Here is a 25435-nt window from a genome sequence, read left to right on the forward strand (position 1 = left end):
ACTACATGAAGACTGGATGGGGCTGGTGTAGACTGATGATGTGTTAAGAAATACAAGAGAAACAGATCTTCAGGGAAGGGAGACAGTATGTTAAACCTAAAAAATGCTGAATTTCTAGTAAACATCCATGCAACAATAGGCAGTGGGCAATTAGATATATAGGTCTGCAACTCCATAAAGAGATATGAACAGGAGATACAAGTTGCAGGCATGAGCATATAGATGTCCACTGACAATATGAGTAGATGAGATCATCAGAAAGAAGTAAATGTGAGAAGAAAAGATGGCTAAAGGTCGTAGCCCAAGCAATATTTAAGTGATATATAAAGGAAAAGTGGTATGAAGAATACAGGCAGTCACAGAGAGAAGGGCAGAGACAATAAAGATTGTTTTCCTAGAAGTCAGGGCAATAATGAATTTCAAAAACAACATGTTCACCACCCTCATAAAGGAGCAGAAGTGACAGGGAAGATAATATTCTACAATGAACAGTATTATAGACCCTGTCATTAACCACTTCAGATTCTTTTGTCCTAAACTGTCTGTTGGGCATTTGGCCATTTGTATTCTTATCAGCCATTAGGAATAGCCTATTTCTCCATGAGCTTTCTGTGGCACAAAGAACAGTAGTCCTGGGGCCTGGGGTTTCCTTACTGACAATAGCACAGGGTCACTGAAACCTTTGGTGATCTCATGTGCACAATTAGGGAGTGTAGAGGAACTTAATTCCCTGTGGGCTCACTTTGACCAGTGGCAGAAAGGAGCTGATGATTATATTATTTTTCCTTCCTCTGCTTTTTTCTTGACTTCCCTGAAAATTAGTCATGTATGAGACCTCTCAGAAGATGGTGTCAGGAGACTGAGAATTTGTGCTTGATACCCACATGGTGGTCAGGATGAAAACACATTGTCTTACTTGCTCTCACGTTTTGGGCAACATTTACTTTTTCCCCCCTTTTCTGCTCCTGGGGCAGCATTCTGGTATTCCATAATGAAGGAGTAACACTTTCTCTTGCTTCAGGCTCTGCTTTCTGAGGAAACCAGGATAAGACAAGTACATATACAGTTGTAATGAAAAAGTGTAGGTCTTTCCTTTGATTTGATACCAAAAAAAAATAATATTTCTTCTCAGCTTAACATCTAGGAACCTATAGTTAAGAACATAGTTTGAAATGATAGAAGTAATACAAACTGTCATTAGAAAAAAATTACAAAAATATGTGAGTAAATTGAAAAACAAAACCAAAAGAGGACTAATGTCACAATTCAAGAGAGTTCGAAGTAAAGACTCAGTTTTGTGGATATGACAGAGAAGAAAAATAGAAATGAGTTAGGAGACCATTTGAGAATATTAAGCCTAAATTTTCCTCAGGAACTAAAATTAGATAATATAGTCTAAAATATATAAAAGATAGACTTCATTGTCTATTTTTATGCTAATGGTCCTCAAAGTGTGGCAGCCAGATGTTCAGTATCAGCATCATTTGGAAAATTGATAAAAAAGTAAATTCTTAGATTTCTACTCCAAACCTACTGAATAACAAGTTTTAGGAGTATAGCCCAGTAATCTGTGTTTTAAAAAGCCCTCTAGGGGACTCTTAACGCATAACGATTAGAACCACTGCTTTTTATATCATGATCTGTTTCATTTAGAGTAAGACAAACTAAATTAAACATTAATAGGCTACCTCCTCCATGAAGTATTCTCTGGTTTCCCAAAATTGAAATAGCCTTTCCTGCCTCTGAATTCCCAAAGCTCTTATGTATTCATCTTTTTTGCATCATTAAAAGAAAACAAATTTTGGAACAATTAATACACTATACATGACACACTTGAGTGGTCATTATGAATTCTAACCTATCAGTTTCCCAAAAGAATCTAGGTAACTAAAGACATCTGATGTGGTTTGGCTGTGTCTCCACCCACATCTCATCTTGGATTGTATCTCCCATAATCCCCATGTGTTATGGAAGGGACCGAGTCAGAAGTAATTGAATCATGGGGTACAGGTTTTTCCTGTGCTGTTCTCGTGATAGAAAGTCTCACGAGATCTGATGGTTTTATAAAGGACAGTTCCCCTGCACATGCTGTCTTGTCTGCCACCATGTGAGACATGCCTTTCCTCCTCCTTTGCCTTGTGCCATGATTGTAAGGCCTTCCTAGCCATGCGCAACTGTGAGTAGTACATTAAACCTCTTTTTCCTTATAAATTACCCACTGTCAGGTATGTCTTTATTAGCAGTGTGAGAACAGATGAATACAGTAAATTGGTGCCGGTAGACTGGGGTGCTGCTGTAAAGATAACCTGAAAATGTGGAAGCAACTTTGGAACTGGGTAACAGGCAGAGGTTGGAACAGGTTGGAGGGCTCAGAAGAATACAGGAAAATGTGGGACAGTTTGGAACGTCCTAGAAACTTGGAGGGCTCAGAACACAGGAAGATGTGGGAAAGTTTGGAACTTCCTAGAGACTTATTGAATGGCTTTGACCAAAATGCTGATAGCGATATGGACAATAAAGTCCAGGCTGAGGTGGTCTCAGATGGAGATGAGGAACTTACTGAGAACTGGAGAAAAGGTGATTCTTGCTATGTTTAGCAAAGAGACTGGCAGCATTTTGCCCCACACTAGGAATCTGTAGAACTTTGAACTTGAGAGAGGTGATTTATGGTATCTGGCAGAAGAAATTTCTAAGCAACAAAGCATGACTTGCATTCTCTTAAATACATTCAGTTTTATTCATTCACAAATATATGGTTTGGAATTGAAACTTATATTTAAAAGGCAAGCAGAGCACAAAAGTGAGGAAAATTTGGAGCCTGACAGTGTGATAGAAAAGAAAAACCCATTTGCTGAGAAGAAAGTAAAGCCAGCTGTAGAAATTTGCATAAGTAACAAGGAGCCAAATGTTAATTGCCAAGACAATCAAGGCATGTCAGAGGTCTTCATGGCAGCCATGAAGGCTTGGAGGCCTAGGAGGAAAAAAATGATTTCGTTAGGCCCATGGTCTTGATATTTTATGCAGTCTTAGGACTTGGTGCCCTACATCCCAGCTGCGGCTAAAAGGGGCCAAGTTATAGCTCGGGCCTTGGCTTCTGAGGGTGCAAGCCCAAAGTCTTGGCAGCTTCCACGTGGTGTTGAGCATGCAGGTGCAGAGAAGTCAGGAATTTTGGTTTGGCATCCTCTGCCTAGCTTTCAGATGGTGTATGGAAACACCTGGATGTCCAAGCAGAAATTTGCTGCAGGGGTGAAGCCCTCATGAAGAACCTTTGTTTGGGCAGTGCTGAAGGGGAATGTGGGGTGCAAGCCCCCACACAGAGTCCTCATTGGGGCACTGCCTAGTGAAGCTGTGAGAAGAGGGCCACTGTCTTCCACACCCCAAAATGGTAGATCCACCTACAGCTTGCACAGTGCACCTGGAAAAGCCTCAGACAGTCAATGCCAGCCTGTGAAGGAAGCTGGGAGAGGGTCTGTACCCTGCACAGCCACAGGGGAGGAGCTTCCCAAGGCTGTGGGAGCCCACCTCTTGCATTAGCATGACTTGGATGTGAGACATGTAGTCAAAGGAGATCATTTTGGAGCTTTAATATTTGACTGCCCTGCTGGAGTTTGGACTTGCATGGGGCCTGTAGTTCCTTTGTTTTGGCCAATTTCTCCCATTTAGAATGGCTGTATTTACCCAATACCTGTACCCCCTCTGTATCTAGAAAGTAACTAACTTGCTTTTAATTTTATAGGCTCATAGGCGGAAGGAACTTGCCTTGTCTCAAATGAGACTTTGGACTATGGACTTTTGAGTTAATTCTGAAATGAGTTCAGATTTTGGGGGAATGTTGGGAAGGCATGATTGGTTTTGAGATGTGAGGACTTGAGATTTGATAGGGGCCAGAGGTGAAACAATATGGTTTGCCTGTGTCCTCACCGAAATCTCATCTTAAATTGTAGCTCCCACAATCCCCACATGCTGTGGGAGGAACCTGATGGGAACCAATTGAATCATAGGGGTGGGTTTTTCCTGTGCTGTTCTTGGGAATTAGTGAATAAATCTCATGAGATATGATAGTTTCATAAAGGGCAGTTTCCCTGCACATGCTCTCTTGCCTGCCACCTTGTAAGATATACCTTTGGGCCTTTACTTTCTGCCATGATTGTGAGGCCTCCCCAGCCATGTGGAACTATGAGTCCATTAAACAATGATGAGTAAGAGTACATAATGCTTGTTAAAAATATATATATAATCTAATTTCTTTAAGAAAAAATATACTTAAAGAATATTGAAAAATTGTACAATTGGACACATGAAGAATGAAAAGTAGCTGCAATTTTCTCTGACTTTTGAAATGCCTTAGACAAGATCCTAGACTAACGGTTATTGATCATATTGAGTCAATATGAAATAGAGGGCAGTGTTTGGTTATAAGTAGGAAACAAACATAAAAACCATCAACTCTCCATTAGACACATGTGGGTTTTTCAGTTTGCTGGCCATCTGTATCTAAGTATGCATTCTGGACTACTTACTCTACCTTTAATTTATGGATCCTCAAGGAATCAAAATAGGTATCAATATTTGCAAATCCAAAGGTTTTCAAACCTTTTAAGCAAGAAAACAGCCTTTGCTCTACCTTGTTTTTTCCTTAAAATAAAAATTTACCCGGAATCCATCTATGTAAAAGTTAAATAAATAAAATCAAGATTATTCTGGTTTCTGCCTTTCTTTCAGCAGTCTCTTCTCATTAGAGACTTCTAAGGTTAGCATAATAAGTGGGTGCTATGCAGCCACTAAGTTTAATTTTGGACAGCCTGTGAATGAGAATTTCTGTAGCCTTTCCTCAAATAATTTAAGTATATATATTAATGGGGGTTATAGATATGGAAATATCATAGATATTATCTTCCTACATTCAAATATCTGTTATAAAACAAAGCAAATGCTACCAAAATAATATAGTTTGCACTGGAAAAATTACCATTAAATACTGTGCTGTGGCTTATTACAATTTACAATATGCAGTGCCCTATAACTGTTTTGAGATTACATGAGAGATTTATTTTTAATATAATTTATTGACATATTCCACTATATCAGACCTCTTAGATTACCAAAAATAATAGAGTATAATGGTTTGTGCTATTTAGTTGGGTGCATCTTAAATGGCTCAGAAACACTCCTAACATTCCAGAGCACAAAAATACTGTCAAGAGGCAAGATATGTGGTTCTTGCACAGCAAAAATAAGACATAATGATCTAAACGCAAATCTAGGAGTACTCAATGATGTAACTCAAAAGAAAAAATTAATTGGAACTATGATATATCTGAAGATAGAAGTATGGAGAAGAGTTTTAACAGGGAGAGGAGCAAACTCCATTGTCTAATCTTCCAAAGATATTTTCCATGTACATTAGAGAAAAGTAGTTCATGTATAGTAAGAGCAGTACAAAGGGATCAACAGCTGGCACTAAAATATAATTCTCTTTATCTAAGATAAATGAAAGGTGAAAATACCAAAGTTCAGTAGCATTAAAATTTTTGAATCCCTCAGAATCAATAAGTTCACAAAAATTACACACCTCATTAAATTCTACACAGATTGCAAAGCTAGCTATAATGTAAAAACAGGCAGACAGTCTGTCTCAATATTATTACAGGAAGGGTTGGTTAAATTAATAGCTTCTCATTGATTAAAAAATCTTGCATTTTACATGTTCTTAAGTTGGTTCCCACCATTATCTTTCAATAATAGAATGAGTCTTTGGAGAAATGTGGTTATATTGAACTATTAAAATACAAAGGTAGGCAAAAGATGTTTACAATATGCTATCATTGTTTCCTGTCATAAAATGCTAACTACGTGAAAAGAAAATATGTTTGCTTCCTATATTCTTAGTGATTTTTTATGCTTAAAATCTCCTACTGTTAAAAGTATAATTAGTCTATAATGTTAAGTAAGCATAAAACAGTATTACTGCATCATAATTTTCCTAGGCAAGACATCATTTTGTTCAGGTAATACAGTATCTGACATTGCATGTGACAATGCCACTGAAACCTTGTCCATTTGTACTCACTGTGAATTAGGAAATGCTCTCTTATTGGACTACCAGTCATCTGCATTTTGCATATATTCATTTATCTCATTTCCACTTTTGCTCATTTAATAAAACATGGTAATCACATGACTCACCTAGAAAGATTTTATTATAAATGTAGATTCTTATTCAACTTACATGTTTATTTCTGTTCTGTAGAAGTCTACATTTTTTTTTTTTCTGAGACAGAGTCTTGCTGTGTCACCCAGGCTGGGGTGCAGTGGCATGATCTCAGCTCACTGCAACCTCTGTCTCCCGGGTTCAAGCAATACTCCTGCCTCAGCCTCATGAGTAGCTGGGATTGCAGGTGCCCACCACAACAACCGGGTAATTTTTATATTTTTAGTAGAGACAGGGTTTCACCATGTTGGCCAGGCTGGTCTCAAACTCCTGACCTTGTGATCTGCCCGCCTCAGCCTCCCAAAGTGCTGGGATTACAGGTATGAGCCACTGTGCCCAGCCAAGTCTACATTTTTTAATACATATAATCCTTTATTAATTCAGTCTCCTTCTTCTCTTAAAGGTTAACAGTAGGTAATTTACCTTTCTTATTGTCAAGTTTACTGAAACACATATATTTATGATGTATTACTAAGTTCATTTAAATTTCAGAAGATTTATTCAATCAAAATTCAGTTGATGATATTATTATTGACAGTATTGGTCTTGTTAGTTATTCCCTTTCACTAATATCTTCAGTTAAATATGTTGCCATGTCAAAATTAATTTACTGACACTGAAGCAGCATTAAATTGCACTTTTTTTTTTTTTTGAGATGGAGTTTCACTCTTGTTGCCCAGGCTGGAGTGCAGTGGTACAATCTCCGCTCACCTCAAACTCCACCTCCTGGGTTCAAGCGATTCTCTTGCCTCAGCCTCTCTAGTAGCTGGGATTACAGGCATGTGCCACCATGCCCAGCTAATTTTGTATTTTTAGTAAAGATGGGGTTTCTCCATGTTGGTCATGCTGGTCTCGAATTCCCGACCTCAGGTGATTCGCCCACCTCAGCCTCCCAAAGTACTGGGATTACAGGTGTGAGGCACCACACCTGGCCTAAATTGCACTTTTATTTGATCATACTATATATACATATTAAATACCCTTTAAATATATATTATAAATTAATGTATTATACAACTGATATGTTAATGTAAGATTATATGAATATAACTTTTTTTTTTTTTTTTTGAGATAGAGCCTCGCTCTGTCACCGAGGCTGGAGTGCAGTGGCGCGATCTCGGCTCACTGCAAGCTCTGCCTCCCGGGTTCATGCCATTCTCCTGCCTCAGCCTCCTGAGTAGCTGGGACTACAGGCGCCTGCCACCTCGCCTGGCTAATTTTTTGTATTTTTAGTAGAGATGGGATTTCACTGTGTTAGCCAGAATGGTCACGATCTTCTGACCTTGTGATCCACCCACCTCAGCCTCCCAAAAGTGCTGGGATTACAGGCGTAAGCCACCTCGCCCCGCAGTATAACGTTATTTATGTGTTACATCATGATATATTATATATTTTTTATATATGTGTATATACATATATTAAAACACTTATTTAGGGTAATTGAAAACGCAGTCTCTTAAGTTGAGATACATTTCAGCTAAAAACAATCTATTCCTTAGTTATTAAATAATAAAATTCAGTTATGAAAGATATATATATTAAATATATTTGTGCAAAGTTATGAAATGATACACTATATTTCAGTATAATTAGAAACATTTACATAAGCAAAGTCATTAAATAGAGAAGATTTAGGTAGATTAAGATTAGCTTTCTTATTCCTATTTGTAATTATGCTATACATTTGAAAAACGCATTTTAGAAACTGTAATCTTAAAAACTATAGAATTATAAAAACTGTAATTAGATCTCAAAAAATCATCTTCTTAATGTGGACATATTTATCCATAACCAGATGTTAACGTATTAAGTTTTCACATTTCTTGAATATGGAAAAAATCTATATCATCCCCTTTTTTAAGCTAAAGGAAAAAATAATGTGTTGTATGTAAAGATGTTCTATGATCTTTGACACCACTGCTTTAGTGAGGTCATTTCTCATCTACTGTGGTGTTATTGAGTTTCATGTTTTGGATTGAATAACGTCCACTCAAATTTATATAATATTTGAGTATTATACAAGAAAACTCATTATTGCAGCCCAATAATATTTGGGTTTAGTGATAATTATTACAGCTAATGTGATTGGAGCACATGTCAAATTCTTAATAACAGCTAAAGGCCACCAAATTCATGGTGACATTGAGAACACATGGACACAGAGAGGGGAACAACACACACAACAGCCTGTTGGGAGTGGAGGGTGAGGGAAGGGAACTTAGAGGATGGGTCAAAAGGTGCAGCAAACCACCATGGCACACGTATACCTATGTAACAAACCTCCACGTTCTGCAAAAAATAAAAATAAAAAAATTTAAAAATTAAAAGTAACGAACTTCCAAAAAAAATTCAGGTGTCTGACCTAAGTGTCTATCAATGGTTGATTGTATAAAGATAATGTGATATATATACACATTGATATACTATTCAGCCATAAAAAATATCAAAATTGACCAGCCACAGTGGCTCACGCTGTAATCCCAGCACTCTGGGAGGCCGAGGTAGGAGGATTGCTTGAACCCAGGAGTTCAAGACCAGCCTGGGCAACATATTGAGACCTCATCTCTATAAAAAAATAAACAAAATTAGCTGGGTGTGGTGGTATGCACATGTAGTCCCAGCTACTCGAGAGGCTGAGGTCGGAGGATTGCTTGAGCCCAGGAGGTTGAGGCTGCAGTGAGCCAAGGTTGCAACACTGCCCTTCAGCCTGGGTGACAGACCAAGACTTTGTCTCAAAAAAAAGAAAGAAAGAAATTATGTCTTTTGCAGCAGCATGGATGAAACTGGATATCATTATCTCAAGTAAAATAAGCCAGACCCAGAAAGTCATATATCACGTGTTCTGACTCATAAGTGGGTGCTAAAAAAAAAAAAAATGTTTACGCATGGAGATACAGATTGGAATGATAGAAAATGGAGACTTGGAAGGGTGAAGACGTGAGGGAAGGGATGATGAGAAATTACTTAATGAGTATTATTCAGGTGATGGATACCCTAAAAATTCTGAGTTGACCACTATGCAACCTATGCCTGTAACAAAATTCCATGGTACCATCATAAATTTATACAAATTAAAAAAAACTTTAAAACAAATTCATGGTGACTATGTCTTTTCAAATTACAAATAGCTGTATGCATACTTGACATTGCCATTACAGCAAATAAAAATAAAAACCTGACAAGTCCACAGGACTTGTGAGCTTGATTAGTCCATCACAAAATTTGAGTCTATTTTATTTTTGCTTACTTTTATATCTCCACATCTAATTTCTAAGACTGTTATTATAGCTGTGGAAATTATGGCATGACCTTCATTACATCATGGTGGAAACTTAGAGACTACTGACATTTCAAAATATTTGAATCATAAAAGAGATGAATCTGCAAACTTAACATTTATAAACTTAGTTCACCTCAATGGGAAGTTTTTATGCTTGTTGTTTTAAACAGACTAGAGAGCAGGAAGTGAACCACAGGCATAAAACGCATAATTTAGGAATTATTTAATTTTTCAGATTCTACTCAGGTAACCACTGTAATAACTAAAAATATCTACAAAAAAGTAAAGATTTAATAGGCTAAAGAGAGAAAAAAACTATACCAAGTACCTATATCTGCATGTGGTTTTTTCTCATAATATTGAATGTAGGTTATGTAAAAAAGCTTTACTAAATAAAAAAAAGGCAAACAAATTAGCAAAAAATGAGATAATTATCTGTCATTATTTGAAGTTAATTTCAATTTTTTTGCAGTGAATAATCCTTTTTTGTGCTCTAGTGTTTAAGACAACTTATATGTCTATATTTCTGTACAAGAAATAATTTTCTAATTTGCAGTGAAAGTTAATGAGTAACAAAATAATGAATGGGAACAATGCCTGTCAAAGATTGTGCTATGTATGTATTACTGAAGCACTGGAAATATTACCGTGGCATACTGTTTCTGTTAGAGTATTAATAAAATAACTGTCACACACTGTGTTCAATGTAAGTCAGACACTGGATAAACACTTCTATATTATCAGTATTAACCCCACCCAAAGCATTTAACGTGACATTATGACACCCAGAATACATATGGAGGAATTGAGAAACAGAGGTGAAACAACTTTCCTCCACACCACACAGCTAGTAAGTATAGGAACTGGAAATTTGAACATATTCTCATTCCAAGTAAATGCACTTAACCACTACCCTGTGGAAAGGAGATTCTAAAAGGATGAAATGATCAAACAAAAAATCTTCTACACAGCAAAGGAAACAATTAACAGTGTAAAGAAACAACCTATAGATTGGGAGAAAATATTTGCAAGCCATACATATGATAAGGGGTTAATAACCAAAATGTATAAGGAACTCAAACAACAGCAAGAAAACACATTACCCAATTGAAAAATGAAGGGACTTAAATAGATATTTCTCAAAAGAAGACATACAAATGGCCAAAAGAGACATGAAAAATGTCACCACTCATTAGGAAAATGCAAATTAAAATCTCAATAGGATATCATCTCACACCTCTCAGAATGGTTATCATCAAAAGAGGAAACATTGGGGTTGGCATGAATGTAGAGAAAAGGAAACCCTTATACACTGTATGCAAGTTCCTCAAAAAACTGAAAAATAGAGTTATCATCTGATCCAGCTATCCCACTATTCAATATTTACCAAGAGAATTTAAACTAATTTTGTTGAAGAGATATTTAGATTCCCATATTCACTGCAGCACCATTTATAATAGCCAAGTTATGGAATCAACTCAAGTGTCCGATCAACCTAAGTGTCCATCCAGATAAATGATTAAAGAAAACAATATATAATATACATACACAAAGAAACATTATACAGTCTTTAAAAAGAAGGAAATATTGTCAGTTGCAACAACATGGATGGAATTGAAAAGCTTTGTTCTAAAAGAAAACCAGTGTCATGGAAAGACAAATATTCCCAGTTATTTGCAGAATCTAAAACAACCTCATAGAAGTGGAGAGTAGAATGGTAGTAGCAGAAGTTGAGGGTTGGGAAAATTGGGACATGATGGTCAAAGGTAACAAAATCTCAGTTACCGGAAGAAAGGGTTTTTTTTTTTTCCTCAGTTCTATTGCACAGAGTGGTGAATACAGTTAATAATATTGTATTAAAAAATTTCCAAATTGCTGAGACAGCAAATTTCAGGTATTTTCACCACACAAAAAATAAGCATTTGAGGTGATGAATATATTGACTGGCTTTATTTATTTGTTCCACATTGCATTCATAAATGTAACATCACTTTGTACTCAATAGATATATATAAATATTAAATTACTATAAGATAAAATTTAAAAAGAAAACAGTATGGTATGAGGTCAGGTTGCAGCCTCCTAATGTCCTGCAAACTTTTGTTTAACAGAACTTTATTTTTTTGAAGCTTAATAACACAAAATGCCATAGCTTTTTACTCTTCACTTACTCAAAAAGCCTATCTACTACTAACATGCTAAAATAAGTTAATAGTGTGGGTTACTAGTATTAAATATTCATAAATGGAGATTTGTGCTCTACTAGATTTAACTGAGAAGCCTGTTTCTACCTGAGTGAGGTTATTACAGAAGGGTTGCCAGATGTATTTTTTTACTTCTGTTTCTGTTATTTGGGCTAGCATCCCTGCACAGCGCTAACATATCCTCCTCTGCATGTAAATGAAATCCCTCAATTTTTGAGAGAAATGCATTATTTTTGTTCTATCAATTACGTTCTGAATTCTCATTTCCAATTGATGTTTTATTTGCCTTGAAAGAATTTTATTGAGGTATAACTGAAAAAATGATTGCATATATTTAAAGTGTACAATCTGATATGTTTTGACGTAAATACATCTCATGTAATCATCAACACAATCAAATCAATGAACATCACTCTCGAAAGAAGTTTCTCCATTCCCACTGGTAATTTCTCTCCATTATCTCCATCCTCTATTCCTGATGTACACAGAACATGACTGATCTACTTTCTGTCGCTGTAGATGAGTTTACACTTTCTAAAATCAATGGACCCAAGCCATACATACCCTTTTGTCTGGCTCTTTTCGTGAGTTTTGCTTTGTGTACAAATAGTTGATTCATTTTTATTGCTGCGTTGTATTCCATATTTACCTATTGATGGAAATTCAGATTATTAGCCAATTTTTTTACTATTATAAATAAACTGCTATAAATATTCTTATAAAAGTCTTTGTACCTATGGATGCATGCTTTCATTTATCTCGGTAAACATGTAGGAGTGAAATACCTGGGTCATATGGTAGTTTTATGTTTCACTCTGTAAAACACAATCAAACAATGTCTGTTGTCCCATGTCAAGTACTACTTTGCATCCTATCAGCAATTTTTGAGGGCTGAATTACTCAGCATTCTCACCAACACTTCGTTTTATCACTGTTTTTATTTTAGACATGCTAATAGGTATGAAGAAATGTCCAAGGTGGTTTTACTTTGCATTTTCCTAATGACTAGTGAGGTTGAGCATCTTTTCTTGAGCTTATGTGATATCTATGCATCTTCCCTGGTGAAAGATCTGTTTAAATCTTTCATTCATTTTATTATGCAGTGTTTCTTTTCTTATTATGAAGTTTTGATCACCCTTTATATATTCTGAATAAAGTCTTTATTAAATATGTGATTTGCAACTATCTTCTCCTAGTCTCACTTGTCCTTTCACTCTATTAGCTGCTTCTAGTTGATATTGTTTGGCTGTGTCCCCATCCAAATCTCATCCTGAATTCCCACATGTTGTGGGAGGGATCCAATGGAAGGTAAGTGAGTCATAGGAGCAAGTCTTTCCCATGTTGTTCTCATGATAGTGAATAAGTCTCATGAGATCTGATGGTTTTGTAAAGAGGAGTTCTTGTACACAAGCTCTCTGTCTTTGCCATCTGCCATCCATTTAAGACATAACTTGCTCCTCCTTGCCTACCACTATGATTGTAAGGCTTCCCCAGCCATGTGGAACTCTAAGTCCGTTAAAACTCTTTCTTTTGTAAATTGCCCAGTCTCAGGTATATCTTTATCAGCAGCACGAAAATGGACAAATATACTCATGAAAAGAAAATTTTTTAAATTTTGTTGTAGTCCAATTCATCAAATTTTGTTTTATAGATTGTGGTTTTGGATTGACTGATAACCAAATAGATTTTCTGCTTGCTTCTATAATTTTTTTTGGCTTTAGATTTTACACTTAGGTCTGTGAGTAATTTAATGAATTTTTGTATGTTCTGTAGGGTATGAACCAAACTTTCTTTTTAGACTTACAAAAATATAACTATTTCACAATACATTTTACTGAGAAAAATTATTCTTTTTTCCACCAAATTAGCTTTGAATATTTGTTGAAAATCAATAGACCATATACATGTGTGTTTATTTCTCAACACTGTATTCTGAGATATTGATCAACTTAGCTATCTCCATGCTGACACTACAATGTTTTGAATATTGTAACTTTGATATGTCTTCAAATTAAATATTTCAAGTTTTCCAAACCTACTTTGTTTTTCAGGATTGTTTTTGGCTATTTTAGGTCCATTTTATTTCCCTATTGATTTTACAATGAGTTCGTCAATATCCACAAAAAAAAAACCCTCCTGAGACTTGAATAAAAATCAGTTGAATTCATGTATCAATTTGGGGAGAAATGACATAAACAATATTGAGTCTTTCTACATACAAACACAGTATTTCTCTTCATTTATTTTTCTTTATATTCTCAGCAATATTTTCAGTTTCCGTGTACAGCTTGAACCTTTACTCATATTTTCCTGAGGTGTTTTAGGTTTTCATGGTATTGTTTCCCAATTTTAATTTCAGTTCCTATTGCTAGTATATAAAAATGCAATTAATTTTTTATACATTAATCTTATATCCTTCAACTCTGCTGAAAGTTGAAATGTATATGCTTAAGTTGCTTTTTTTATAGTTTCAAGCAGATTTTTTACAGAAATGATCATATTGCTGTAAAAATAAGACAGTTTTACTTTCCCTATCCAATTCAGATACTTTCTTTTTTTTTACTTGCCTTATTGCACAGGCTAGAAACTCCAGTGAAATATTGAACAGAGTGAGGAGAACAGATAACCTTGTCTTAGTCCTCATGTTATGGGGCAAGCAATGAGTCTTTTGTCATTAAATATAATGTTACCTGTAGGATTTTTGTTGATATGCTTTATCATGTTGAGGAAGCTTCCCATATTCTTAGTTTGCTGAGAGTTTTTCTTGGAATTAATGTTGGATTTTGCCAGATGTTTTTCTGCACCTATTGAAGTAATCTTTTAAAAAATTTATTCTGTTAATATGGAGGCTTACATTGATTTTTGAATGTTGATCCAGTATTGTATTTATAAATTAAGCCCCATGGTGTATTAATCGTGTGTGTGTGTGTGTGTGTGTGTGTGTGTGTGTGTGTGTGAATTTAATTTGCTAAAGTATTTTTAGGAAATTCTGTATCACTGTTTTAGATACACAGGTCTGAAGTTTTCTGTTCACATCTTTAATCTTGGTATCAGAATATGGTCAGACTTATATACTAAGTATAAACTAATCTCTTCCTAAATTTTCTGGAAAATTTTGTATACATTTGGTATCATTTATTCCCATTAACATAATGGTTTAAATGTTTTGCATTTTTAATTCTTTTTTGTGCTTTATTCTGGATTATTTCTATTGCTGTATTTTTCCAGATCATATTTTTTCTTCTGCAAAGTCTAATCTGCCTTTAATTCTATCCAATGTATATTTGATCAAAGACATTGTTGTTGTTTCATCTTTATAAATTTTTTTGAAACTTGTTTATATCTGTCACCCATATCATTTTTTATATCTGTCACCCATTTATGTCATGTTGAATTTTATCTTGTGGAGTGCTTGCTAATTTTGTATTTCTATAAATATACTTGAACTTTTTTATGCAATGGGGTTGTTACTCAGAAATATTTTGTTCTTTCCCAATCTTTTTTTTAAAGGAAGAACCAGAATACCTTTTGGTTTAAGTTTGGTTTTTCCCTACTCTTCAGATAAGATATTTCTGAGTACTGCATTCAACACCCCCAAAATTTTCTTTTTTGATTGTCAGTTTCTAGTACACATTCAATTATGAATACTGAAATTTGAATTTTATATAATTTTTATGTCATAAAATGCTATTGTTATTTCCATTTTTACTAATATTTTAAAATGTAAAAAACTATTCTTAACTTACGGGTTATAGACATTGGGGACTCCCAGTTCTAGGCAAAATACATTTAACGCATTCTTCCCTGTTTCTCCTTTAGCTAAGAAAAACTAAAAATCTTGGACATTATATATAAAACAAGTATAATAAGACTCTGAAAGTTAGAGAGAAGGCAGAATACTAGCTAAAGAACTCAGACCCAAGAAATGACATGGTGGTTTTACAGGGTTTTGTTTGTTTGTTTGTCTGTTTGTTTGTTTTTTGACCATATATATACCCTGAACTGGGTATTCAAGAGACTGGCAAGTCAGAAACACCAGCGAGGGTTGGGCACAGTGGCTCATGCCCATAATCCCAGCACTTTGGGAGGCCAAGGTGGGCAGATTACCTGAGGTGGGAGTTTGAGACCAGCCTGGTCAGCATGGTGAAACCCTGTCTCTACTAAAAATGCAAAAACTAGCTAGACATGGTGGCAGACACCTGTAATCCCAGCTACTCAGGAAGCTGAGGCAGGAGAATCACTTTAACCTGGGAGGCGGAGGTTTCAGGATTGTGCCATTGCACTCCAGCCTGGGCAACAGAGCAAGACTGCGTCTCAAAAAAAAAAAAAAAAAAAAGGAAGAGAAAAACAAATAAGAAGTCCCAAGAAATCCTGGTCTTTTAAGTCAATGCACAAGGAAAGAGGCAGTCTAGCAATAAATAATAAATGCTCTACTCTAGGCAACACCATGGAAAATACTGCAGCCCTCAAACTCATCTCTGCATCTCTGCTAGCAAAGGACAAATGGAGAGCCTAGTCTTCCAACCTCCCCCAGTTGTAATGAGACACACTTTCTGCTTGCAAAAGAGGTGTCAGAGAAGGCTAGTGGAGAGACAGTTCTTCTGTCCCTGCCTGAAAGTAATGAGGCCTCCTTAGTAGTGGAGGCCATATAAAAACTAGCAATGAGTTACATACTCCTCTACAGAGTATCAATGGAGAGTAACTGGGGAAACTGGATTTTTACTCCCGTTGAGCATTAATGAAGCAATGGCATTCTTCTTTAACCGGAGTGATGTCAGAAACATCCTGCTTAAACAGAGGATCCAGAATCTCATAACAAAATGCCCAAAATATCCCCCAGATACAATAAAAAATATTCATTACACCAAAAATTAGAAAAATCACAACTTCAGTAAGAAACAACAATAAAATACAGCACCAGTAAGATGGCATAGATTTTGGAAATATCTGACAAAGATTTTAGAGCAGCCATCATAAAAATTCTTCAATGACCAATCAAATATTATTAAAAAAAGAATAGGAAGTCTCAGAAAAAAAAAAGTGAGATATAAAGAAGAACCAACTAGAACTTTTAGAATTGAAAAACACAATAACCAAAATTAAAAACTCAATGGAAGAGCTAAACAGCAGAATGAAGAGAACAAAAGAAGGAATTGGTGAATTTGAAGAGACAACAATAGAAATTACTCAACCTAAACAATAAAGATAACATACAGTGGAGTAACACTCACTTTTCTCAACTTCCTCTCTCACATAGTTCTTCAGCAGACTTAGTTTTTGGGGTATATACCCAAAGGACTATAAATCATGCTGCTATAAAGACACATGCACACGTATGTTTATTGCGGCACTATTCACAATAGCAAAGACTTGGAACCAACCCAAATGTCCAACAATGATAGACTGGATTAAGAAAATGTGGCACATATGCACCATGGAATACTATGCAGCCATAAAAATGATGAGTTCATGTCCTTTGTAGGGACATGGATGAAATTGGAAATCATCATTCTCAGTAAACTATCGCAAGGACAAAAAACCAAACACCACATGTTCTCACTCATAGATGGGAATTGAACAATGAGAACACATGGACACAGGAAGGGGAACACCACACTCTGGGGACTGTTGTGGGGTGGGGGGAGGAGGGAGGGATAGCATTAGGAGATATACCTAATGGTAAATGGCGAGTTAGTGGGTGCAGCACACCAGCATGGCACATGTGTACATATGTAACTAACCTGCACATTGTGCACATGTACCCTAAAACTTAAAATATAATAATAATAAAAAAAAGAAGAAATATGAAGAGTAGTTCCCTGAAAACAAATTTTTTGTAGGTTGGTGGAAAAACACTCTCCTGCCATCCACATATATCTACTTACATATACACACACAAGCAAACATATACACACACCCAGCCCCATCCCACCATAACAACCTCAAAGAAACAAAAGATATTGATACTTTCATAAAAGGAGCTGGAACTGGCGAGGTGATTAAGAAAAAATAATACTAAGACCTAAACATGTGGAGGAAAGGGAACCCTTGCACACTTTTGGTGGTATTGTAAATTAGTATATCCATTTGGGAAAACAGCATAAAGTTTCCTTGAAAATCTAAAAATAGAACAACTGTATGAACCAGCAATTTCATTTCTGGGTGTCTATCCAAAGAAATTGAAATCAATGTGCCAAAAAGATATCTGCACTGCTTTGTTCATTGCGGCACTGTTCACAATAGCCAAGATATGAAAATTATCAAAGTTCCCATGAATGGATGAATAGATTTTTTAAAATGTGGTGTATATATACACAATAGAATATTATTCAGCTTTTAAAAAGCAGGATATTCTGTCAGTTGCAACAACATGGGTCAACCTAGAGGACAACCTAATGAAGTAAGCCAGGCTCAAACAGACAAGTACTGCATGATCTTGCTTATATGTGGAATCTAAAAAAGTCAAACTCATAGAAGTAGAGAGTAGAATAGTGGTTACCAGGGGCTGGGGGAGAGGGTTGGCAGGGAAAGGGGAAATATTGGTCAAAGAGGACAAAGTTTCACTTAGATAAGAGGAATGAAAGTCTAGGTGATCTACTGCACAGCTTGGGTGCCATAGTTAATAATAATAATGTATATCTCAAAATAGCTAAATGAATTGATTTTAAATATTCGCATCACAAAGAAATGATTGGTATTTGAGGTGATAGATGTGCTAATTAGCCTGATTTGATCATTTCACACTGTATGCATGTATGGAAACATCACATTCTACCCCATAAATATATGCAATTATTATTTGTCAATTAAAAAATTTAAAAAGCAAGAACAATTATGTCGTGGCATGGGATATGTGTTTGGAGAAGAAAGAAAGCATTATAAAGGGAACAAAGAGCGCTAAGAAGTAAAAAGGGAGGTAAAGAAAAAGGAGAAGACCATAAATAGGAGAGGACTTAAGCAAAGTGTGAAACTGACCCTCCTTGTTATTATTATTCTAAGATGTATTAGTCCTGGCTCTTTGTGTTCCTAATTGGTTTCTAGTGTCCCCACAACAGGAAAATAATTAATAACAATCAACATGTTCTTTTTCTCAAGACCCAAGAAACATAAATTAAAAACTTAATCAAAAGAATATTAGGCCAGAGGTGATAATGACCTGGATTTATGACATCTGTTTTCCTAGTCATACAACATCAGCCACTAATTAGTTATGTCACTTAACCAAGTACCTTTTTCTTGTAGGATTGACATCCCTCAAGTGGGATTTAGAAGTTACTTATGAATAGAAATGTCGAAAAATATATATATCTATTGTGGTCTTTCAGAAATCAATTTTATGATTGAAAGATAACAATAATGTTGAATGAAATGCCGAGGCGGGCGGATCACGAGGTCAGGAGATCGAGACCATCCCGGCTAAAACGGTGAAACCCCGTCTCTACTAAAAATACAAAAAAATTAGCCGGGCGTAGTGGCGGGCGCCTGTCGTCCCAGCTACTTGGGAGGCTGAGGCAGGAGAATGGCGTGAACCCGGGAGGCGGAGCTTGCAGTGAGCCGAGATCCCGCCACTGCACTCCAGCCTGGGCGACAGAGCGAGACTCCGTCTCAAAAAAAAAAAAAAAAAAAAAAAAAAAATTTCCAATGATAATTTTGTATGAGAGTTACTGGTTCAGTTGAAATTACACCATTATTGTGACTAGTCCATTTTCCAAAAAAGGCTGAGCACAGATTTTGGTGTTGTCAATAAATACGGAACCATCAGCATCATGATATGAAGAAAAAAATACAAAGGGCAAAAATGTATCTCCAATTACTCACAGTGATGGGGGTTAATCAAAGCCTACTCAGTGTTAGTTGAAGACTTGGAATTTATTTTTCAATGAAAAAAGTTATTATTAATATGTGAATTCGAATAACAATAGCTATCATTTGTCAAGCATTTATTATGAAGTGTTTTGCTAACTGTTTCACATGAGTTCTCTCATTTAATTCTCAAATAATGCCATGGGACATCTCCAATAATTTGTCCCATTTTTGGGTGAGGAAAGTGCAAGTTAGCAAAGTTAAATAGCATGCCAAAAAATATGCGTCTGGAAAAGAGCAAAGTCATAGCAGAAATTTAGGTCAGCTGATTTTAGAATCTATGATCTTAACAATAGCATATATTCTTCCTAAAAAAGTGTTCTCACTAGAATTTTGGTATTGTCACTTTGAATAGAAAAGGTACTGGGGAACAAAAGGAAGATATCATCTCATGCTTTTCAGGCAAACCTGTCACTGAACTACTTGGAATCAAGCCAAACACTGCTCCAGAAATGATGTATTTATTAGGGTATTCAGAAGCCTCACATTTGGTTCACCTTTTCAAACACTGATTTCACTTTTACCACAACTTCTGTGGCCTGGAACAAAGCCACTCATAGTATCACTAGAGGCAATCATTGTTTTCAGTGCAAGGGCCCCCATTATATATAATGCATTGAACTAAATATACTTTAAAAAATAAATAGAAGAACTCTTTTCCAGAAAGCAGATTATGATGAACAGTGAGGAGCAAGGAGTAAACACAGAGAGAGGGCTGTACCCACAGTTGGGGAAGTAAAATAAGAAAAGGGGGGCCGAGCGCGGTGGCTCACGCCTGTAATCCCAGCACTTTGGGAGGCCGAGGCGGGTGGATCATGAGGTCAGGAGATCGAGACCATCCTGGCTAACAAGGTGAAACCCCGTCTCTACTAAAAATACAAAAAATTAGCCGGGCGCGGTGGCGGGCGCCTGTAGTCCCAGCTACTCGGGAGGCTGAGGCAGGAGAATGGCGTGAACCCGGGAAGCGGAGCTTGCAGTGAGCCGAGATTGCGCCACTGCAGTCCGCAGTCCGGCCTGGGCGACAGAGCGAGACTCCGTCTCAAAAAAAAAAAAAAAAAGAAAAGGGGAAGACAGTGTTCTCATTGTTCAATTCCCACCTGTGAGTGACAACATGTGGTGTTTGGTTTTCTGTCCTTGCGATAGTTTGCTCAGAATGATGGTTTCCAGCTTCATGCATGACCCTACAAAGGACATGAACTCATCCTTTTTTATGACTGCATAGTATTCCATGGTGTATATGTGCCACATTTTCTTAATCCAGTCTATCATTGATGGACATTTGGGTTGGTTCCAAGTCCTTGCTATTGTGAATAGTGCCGCAATAAACATACGCGTGCATGTGTCTTTATAGTAGCATGATTTATAATCCTTTGGGTGTATACCCAGTAATGGGATCACTGGGTCAAATGGTATTTCTAGTTCTAGATCCTTGAGGAATCGCCACACTGTCTTCCACAATGGTTGAACTAGTTTACGGTCCCACCAACAGTGTAAAAGTGTTCCTATTTCTCCACATCCTTTCCAGCACCTGTCGTTTCCTGACTTTTTAATGATTCCCTTTGTAACTGGTGTGAGATGGTATATCACACTGAGGCCTGTCATGGGATTGGGGGTGGGGGGAGGGATAGCATTAGGAGAAATACCTAATGTAAATGATGAGTTAATGGGTGCAGCACACCAACATGGCACATGTATACATATGTAACAAAGCTGCAATTTGTGCACATGTACCCTAGAACTTAAAGTATAATAAAAAAAAAAAAAAGAAAGAAAGAAAAGGAGAAGGCAGGTGTACCCAAGATAAACTAAATGTGCATTGCAATTGAGCTCAGGGCCAATCCTGTAAGGAACAAATCCATTATGAGAATCAAACACAAAGGCAAATTCAGTAAAAACTACCTGTGTGTTTTTGGAACTATGATTTAAAAGAGCTTGGGAATTGATGTGTTGGATGGTTATTCAGATATAAGCAACAAAAGAACATTATATGTGCTTTAGCTATGCAGCCACTTCTGATTTATTTCAAAAAAGCTTGCTGGGGAATATTGTGATGTTCTCTGACTGGCTTTGCAGTTATACCAGTCAGCAGGCCAAGAATAAAGACCACTTAAGTATTATTTGGAAATGAAATCACTACTAAAAAGGATATAGTTGTATGTTAAAGAGACACCAAACCATTATGAGTCAACTAACTTAGCTCTAGGGTCAAGAATAAATGAATACAAATGTGAGACAATATTCTGATAGATACAGTACTTTCACAGAGTCTTGTGTCTGAGAGTATGGAAAGGCCAATGAGGAGACAGTGAGCTATCAAACATCTGTCATAAATATATATCTAAGTAACTTTTAAGTTGCCTGATACTTGAATACATCAAGGGAAAGATAGCATTTTAGGGTCAATTAAACAAAAGTATGTGTACTGTAATAGTTTGACACAAAGAAGAATGGATAGAGAAAGAAAAACAGTCAAAGTGGTAAGCTTTATCAAAATAGAGTTTTTGACCTTGTACGGATAAAGAAAGAGAGTTTAGAAATATGAATTGGCTTACCCATGCAAGTTAAAAAAATAAATAAATTAGGCAGAGAGAGTGGAAGAGGAAAAATGAATACAGACATCTGTAACTTTTGTACATGAAAAGCAGCATGTACAATGAAAAAAATAGAAGGAAATAAAAGCAGAATTGATTCCCCAAATTTTCTTTACAAGAAGAGCAATAAAATTTTAAGGATATTTTACTAAACATACTCTAAACTTAATTTCCAATTCTTGAAGTCATATGTTTAAAGTTTAAGGAATCTTCCTATATTAGTAATGCTTCTCCAGAGAGAAACAACCAATAGCAGATAATAGATACATGAATGGATACACATACATACAGACAGACAGACAGATAGACAGACAGAAAGACAGAAGATAGATAGAGAGATTAATAGATAGATAGAGATTTATTAAGGAAGTTGGCTCACATGATATATGGAGGCTGAGAAGTCCCATGACAGGCTGGAGAACCAGGAAAGGTGTTAGCATGGCTCAGTCCAAGTCTAAATGCCTCAGAACAAGGGAAACTGATGGTTTAGCCTTCAGTCTCAGACTGAAGGCTTGAGAAACTGGGGAGCCACCAGTAAACGCAGAGTCCAAAGGCCAAAGAATCTGGATTCTGATGTCCAAGGGCAAATGAAGAAGGATGTCCCAGCTAGAGGACAGAGAGAAATAGAAAGAGGGAGAGAGAAATTTGTCATTTCTTTGCCTTTTTGTTCTATCCAGGCCCTCGCTGATTAGGTGTGTCCTTCCACATCAGATGAAGATAGATCTTCCTTATTCAGTCCACTGATTCAAACCCCAGTCTCTTCTGAATACACCCTCACAGACATACACAGCTATCTATCTGTGTATCCCTTAAGCCAGGCAACTTGACACCGATAATTAACTACCACAAATCTTCTCCTTGTCAACTTGGCTCCCATATGCATCTCCTTAAATCATACTTAATCACCAAATAAAAACAATAACAAGGTCATAGTCCTGCCTAGCATAACACCACTATTTTGCATACAACCCCAAATACTCTAAATCCCTTCCCCAGAACACTAGGTGAAGTCCATGAGTCATGTTTACTCTTAACCTGATATCCTGTAACAAATATGAAGACATAAAATCAACAGCAATTAAATAGTGACATAAACTCAATATATCTTATATTACATGATTAAAAAATAAGACAGGAAAGGAAACAAAGATATATGCTTAATACACGTATATACACACTGAAATATATTCTTAACAAAAGAAGAAGAAAATGCTAATGACAAAAACAGTCATTATTTCTGTAACTGGTCACATGGTCTTAGCTAGAATTTATCTTCCTCTGTCCATTTTGTATTCCCTTTGCCTTCAGAAAGCACCTCAGCTGGTCATGATTCTTTACCTGGAAAAGTGACCCAAACCTTCATTCCTACAAAACTCTGGACTATTCACAGTCCTTTCTGGATTGAGTTGAGTTGTAGTTTCCCACTGACCTTAATCACAGGGCAGGGTAATGCTAACAGATGACCTAAGGGATCACCTGTATTCCAGACATACTATTTTCTTTCTTTCGTTGTGAGGTAGTAATTCAGTTTCCCCTTGGTAGCCCAGATCATCCCAACCAACATGGTAACTGCTTTCCTGACCTTTTGATTCAAAGGCATGAGGAGGCCAAGGTTGCCAGGTGGAAGTCTCAAATTCCATTTAATGGGATCATTGTCGTGTTTCCTGGTAGGATCATTCCTCCTTCTGGGACTAAAATATCTAGGCTAGAAGAGCACAAAGTCACAAAACAAAAAGCAAAATGTTTGCTAGAGGGTTACTATGGGTAACGGTGAGTGATACTACTCTTTGTTTCTGGACTTGTGAATCCTGGCAATAGGAGAAATAGTACCATCTATTGGACGCTGATTCAGAGCATATACAGCCTTCTGGAGAACGCTGTCCCAGCCCTGCATGGTATTGTCACCTAGCTGGTATCGTATTTGCACCTTCAAAAAGCCATTTTACCATTCTATGGAGCCCGCTACTTCAGAATAGTGAGGAAACATGGAAATACCAGTACATTTTATGAGCATGATTCATTGTTTTACTTCTTTGACTATGAAGTGAGTTTCTTAATCAAAAGCAATGCTGTGTGGAATACCATGATGGTGGATAAATCATCTGTAACTTCACAGATGGTGGTGTAGACAGAAGCATTTTATGCAGAGAAGGGAAATCCATATCCAGATAAAGTGTCTATTCCCATAAGAATAAAATGTGACTCCTTCCAGGATGAAAGTTGTCCAGTGTAATCTGCCTGCCCCCAGGAAGTTCCTGCATTACTCAGCATTCTGCCTCTGAGACCACAGAGCCACCAGCATGCAACATCAGGCTGAGAGAGCCCCAAGCATAAAACTCCCATCAGAGAGAGCTTCTGTATGGGCTGTGTCCACCAAAACCATTGGAGTGGAGCCACCTGAGGTCTTGGAAAGCAGGACATAGAGTCAAAGATTGTTCTCAAGTCCCAAGATTTAAAGTTTGCTTTCTTGGGTTTTGGAATTACTTGGGACCTGTTAGCCACTTTCTTCTTTCCTATTGCTCTCTTTCAGAATAGGAATGTCTATCTTGTGCCTATTACAGCATTTTATTTTGGAAGCACATAAGTGGTTTGATTTCATAGCCTCACAGCTGGAGGGAATTGGTCTCAGGATGTCACACCTTTGAGTCTCACTCATATCTGATTTAGATGATATTTAAATGAGATATTGGGCTTTTTAGACATTTGAGTTGATGCTGGAATGAGCTAATACTGTTCAGGCTATTAAGATGAAATAAATGTATTTGGCATGTGAAAAGGACATAAATTTTCAGGGGTCAGGGACTGCATTCTATGGTTTCTATGTTTGTGTCCCCTCTGAAATTCATGGCCTAGAAGTGAAGTCCTATTTTGACTTTTAAAAAATTACTTCCTCAAAAGAGTAGATCAATTAGACTGTCTTTTGTCTACTTTCCTACTTATCATTATTTAAACATTCTAAATTATTCTTATCTGAGTGGAAGTTTCACAACGGGGACTTTGACCAAGTAAATGTGGAAACCCCTGGGTTAAACCAGATTTAAAAATTTCCTTAATAATCAATGACACCCCAAAGTGAAGTTACAGAATGCATTATATTCACACCTATTGGGCAAGGCAACATTATCTATATAATGGGACATCTCACAGTATTAGTATTTAGTAGACATAATGTGGGTGACACTTGTCACTGTACCCCATTGCATTAAAGTCAAAGATGAGGTGTGCTGCTATTTAAGAGCCACAGATTGAGTAATTAATAAATAATACGAAATTATTTGTCTCAGTT

At 36.5% G+C, this 25435-nt stretch overlaps 1 long non-coding RNA gene across 1 annotated transcript in view, besides 1 other annotated feature; it reads left to right on the forward strand.

The window, feature by feature from the left end:
* The window catches only part of LOC107986770 (uncharacterized), a 407223-nt gene that overhangs the window by 309268 nt on the left and 72520 nt on the right, over nt 1-25435 (forward strand). The window lies entirely within an intron of this gene.
* Nucleotides 24338-24538: a silencer, noted in NCBI's record as "peak6397 fragment used in MPRA reporter construct". NCBI's record gives its function as "represses an SCP1 promoter by STARR-seq MPRAs in K562 erythroleukemia cells {active_cell/tissue: K562}" and the evidence as "EXISTENCE:reporter gene assay evidence [ECO:0000049][PMID:32103011]".

The sequence above is a fragment of the Homo sapiens genome, chromosome 7 (genome assembly GCF_000001405.40).
Source record: "Homo sapiens chromosome 7, GRCh38.p14 Primary Assembly".
In the NCBI taxonomy this organism is placed as follows: Eukaryota; Metazoa; Chordata; class Mammalia; order Primates; family Hominidae; genus Homo; species Homo sapiens.